Source organism: Homo sapiens, chromosome X (genome assembly GCF_000001405.40).
Source record: "Homo sapiens chromosome X, GRCh38.p14 Primary Assembly".
NCBI classification, from domain to species: Eukaryota; Metazoa; Chordata; class Mammalia; order Primates; family Hominidae; genus Homo; species Homo sapiens.
This window is the reverse complement of record NC_000023.11, coordinates 1,673,429-1,676,496: the sequence shown is the minus strand read 5'-3', so window position 1 is coordinate 1,676,496 and position 3,068 is coordinate 1,673,429.

Sequence of the window (3,068 nt, the reverse complement as noted above, 5' to 3'; positions counted from 1 at the left end):
TTTATACATACTTATGGACAGACATGTAAACACACATGTAGATAGGTTACAGAGAGATTTTAAGAAATTGGCTACTGGTTTTATACATATAGATATTACATATATATATATATATATATATATATACACACACACACATACACATGCAAAGAGAAATGTTAAGGAATTGTCTATATAGAAGGAATTGTCTATATAGGAAATACATATTGGCTTTAATCACACTTATATAGACACAGGTAGATAGATAGATAGATAATATATATAGAGAGAGAGAGACAAAGAGATTTTAAGGAATTGTCTGTGTAGGAGGTATATGTTGGTTTTTTACATACATATAGATATATAATGTCTATGTAGCTATTTATCTATATATAAATATACACAAAGACAGAGATGTTAAGAAATTCTCAATATTAGGATGTACATATTGGCTTTATCCATACATATCTATATAGAGATATATAATAGCTACATATCTATATGTAGGCCTGGCACGGTGGCTTACGCCTGTCATCCCAGCACTTTGGGAGGCCGAGGCGGGCAGATCACCTGAGGTCAGGAGTTTGAGACCAGCCTGGCCAACACGGTGAAACCCCGTCTCTACTAAAAATACAAAAAATTAGCTGGGCATGGTAGTGGGCACCTGTAGTACCAGCTACTCAGGAGGCAGAGGTGGGAGAATTGCTTGAACCCGGGAGGTGGAGGTTGCAGTGAGCCAAGATCACACCATTGCACTCCAGCCTGGGCAACAGAGCAAGACTCCGTCTCAAAAAAAAAAAAAAGAGGCGGGTGGGGGAGAGAGAGAGAGAGGCAAAGAGATTTTAAGGAATTTCTATGTAGGAGGTATATGTTGGTTTTTTACATGCATATATATATATATATATATACAATATATGTCTATATATACAATATATATCTATATATACTATATATCTATATATATATACAATATATATCTATATAGATACAATATATATCTATATATAAATATACACAGACAGAGACTATCTATACATCTATATATAAAATACACAGAGAGAGAGAGATGTTAAGGAATTATCAGTATAGGAGGTACATATTGGCTTTGTCCATACATATCAATATATAGATATATAATAGCTATATATCTCTATCTAGGCCGAGTACGGTGGCTCACGCCTGTAATCTCAGCACTTTGGGAGGCCGAGACGGGCAGATTACCTAAGGTCAGGAGTTCGAGTCCAGCCTGGCCAACATGGTGAAACCCCGTGTCTAGTAAAAATGCAAAAAATTAGCCAGGCGTGGTGGTGGGCACCTGTAACCCCAGCTACTTGGGAGACTGAGGCAGGAGCATCGCTTGAACCCGGGAGGTGAAGGTTGCAGTGAGCCAAGAACACACCATTGCACTCCAGCCTGGGTGACAGAGCAAGACTCGGTCTCAAAAAAGAGACAGAGAGAGAGGCAAAGAGATTTTAAGGAATTGTCTATGTAGGAGGTATATGTTGGTTTTTACATACATATAGATATATAATGTCTATATATCTATATATAGGTATACACAGAGAGAGAGATGTTAAGGAATTGTCAATATAGAAGGTACCTATTGGCTTTATCCATACAGATCTATATATAGATATATCTATATATATACATACAGAGAGAAAGGAAAGATTTTAAGGATTTGTATACATAATAGGTACATATTGGCTTTATTCATGCATAGCTATATGTAGACATATAATATCTCTATATCTATGTCTATATAAATCTATATACACAGAGAGCGACTTTAAGAAATTAACTATGAAGGAAGTATATGTTGGTTTTATACATACATATAGATATTTGAAGGAGAGACATTTTAAGGAATTGGCTACGTAGGAAGTATATATTGGTTTTATACAGACATCTATAGGTCTTGAGAGAAAGGGAAAGAAATTTGAAGGAATTGTCTAAGTAGGAGGTATATGTTGGTTTCATATATACATGTATTGATATTTGAGAGAGATTTTAAGAAATTGGCTAAGGCCGGGCGTGGTGGCTCACGCCTGTAATCCCAGCACTTTGGGAGGCTGAGGCGGGCGGATCACGAGGTCAGGAGTTTGAGACCAGCCTGGCCAACATGGTGAAACCCTTTCTCTACTAAAAATACAAAAATCAGCCAGATGTGGTGGTGGGCACCTGTAATTCCAGCTACTCGGGAGGCTGAAGCACGAGAATTGCGTGAACCTGGGAGATGGAGGTTGCTGTGAGCCGAGATCGTGCCACTGCACTCCAGCCTGGGCAACAGAGCAAGACTCTGTCTCAAAAAAAAAAAAAAAGAAAGAAATTGGCTAAGTAGGAGGTTTATGTTGATTTTATGCATGCATATATAGATATTTGAGCGAGAGATTTTAAGGAATTGTCTAAGTAGGAGGCATATGTTGGTTTTACACATACATATATAAATATCTAAGAGAGATTTTTAAGGGATTGGCCATGTAGGAGGTATAGCCATGTAGGAGGTATATGTTGGTTATATGCATGCATATAGATATTTGAGAGAGATTTTAAGGAATTGGCTATGAAGGCGGTGTATGTTGGTTTTACGCATGCATATAGATATTTGAGAGAGAGAGATTTTAAGGAATTGGCTATGAAGGCGTTATATGTTGGTTTTATGCATGTGTATACAGATACCTAAGAAAGGAAGATTTTAAGGAATTGGCTCAATGATTCTGGAGGGGAAACACTAAATTCTTCAGGTAGACCAGCAGGCTGCAGAACTCAGGAAGAGTTAATGCTGCAGCTGGAACCCGAATCCCGGGAGGCAGAATCCTTTTGTCCTTGGAAAACATTGGTCTTTGCACTTAAGACCTTCAACTGATGGGACGAGGCCCACCCTCATCGTGCGTGGTCCCTGGCTTCATTCAGACTCTGAACAAAATGTTCATCTCATCTGAAAGATACCTTCACAGCACCATGTAGCCCAGTATCTGACCACATACCAGGTACTGTGGATACAAAATTCACCATTTCAGGCAGTTCACGCTTCAAGACAGCTTGTGTGGATGGTGCCTCACCACCGCCTCCTGGTGTTCATTGAGAAT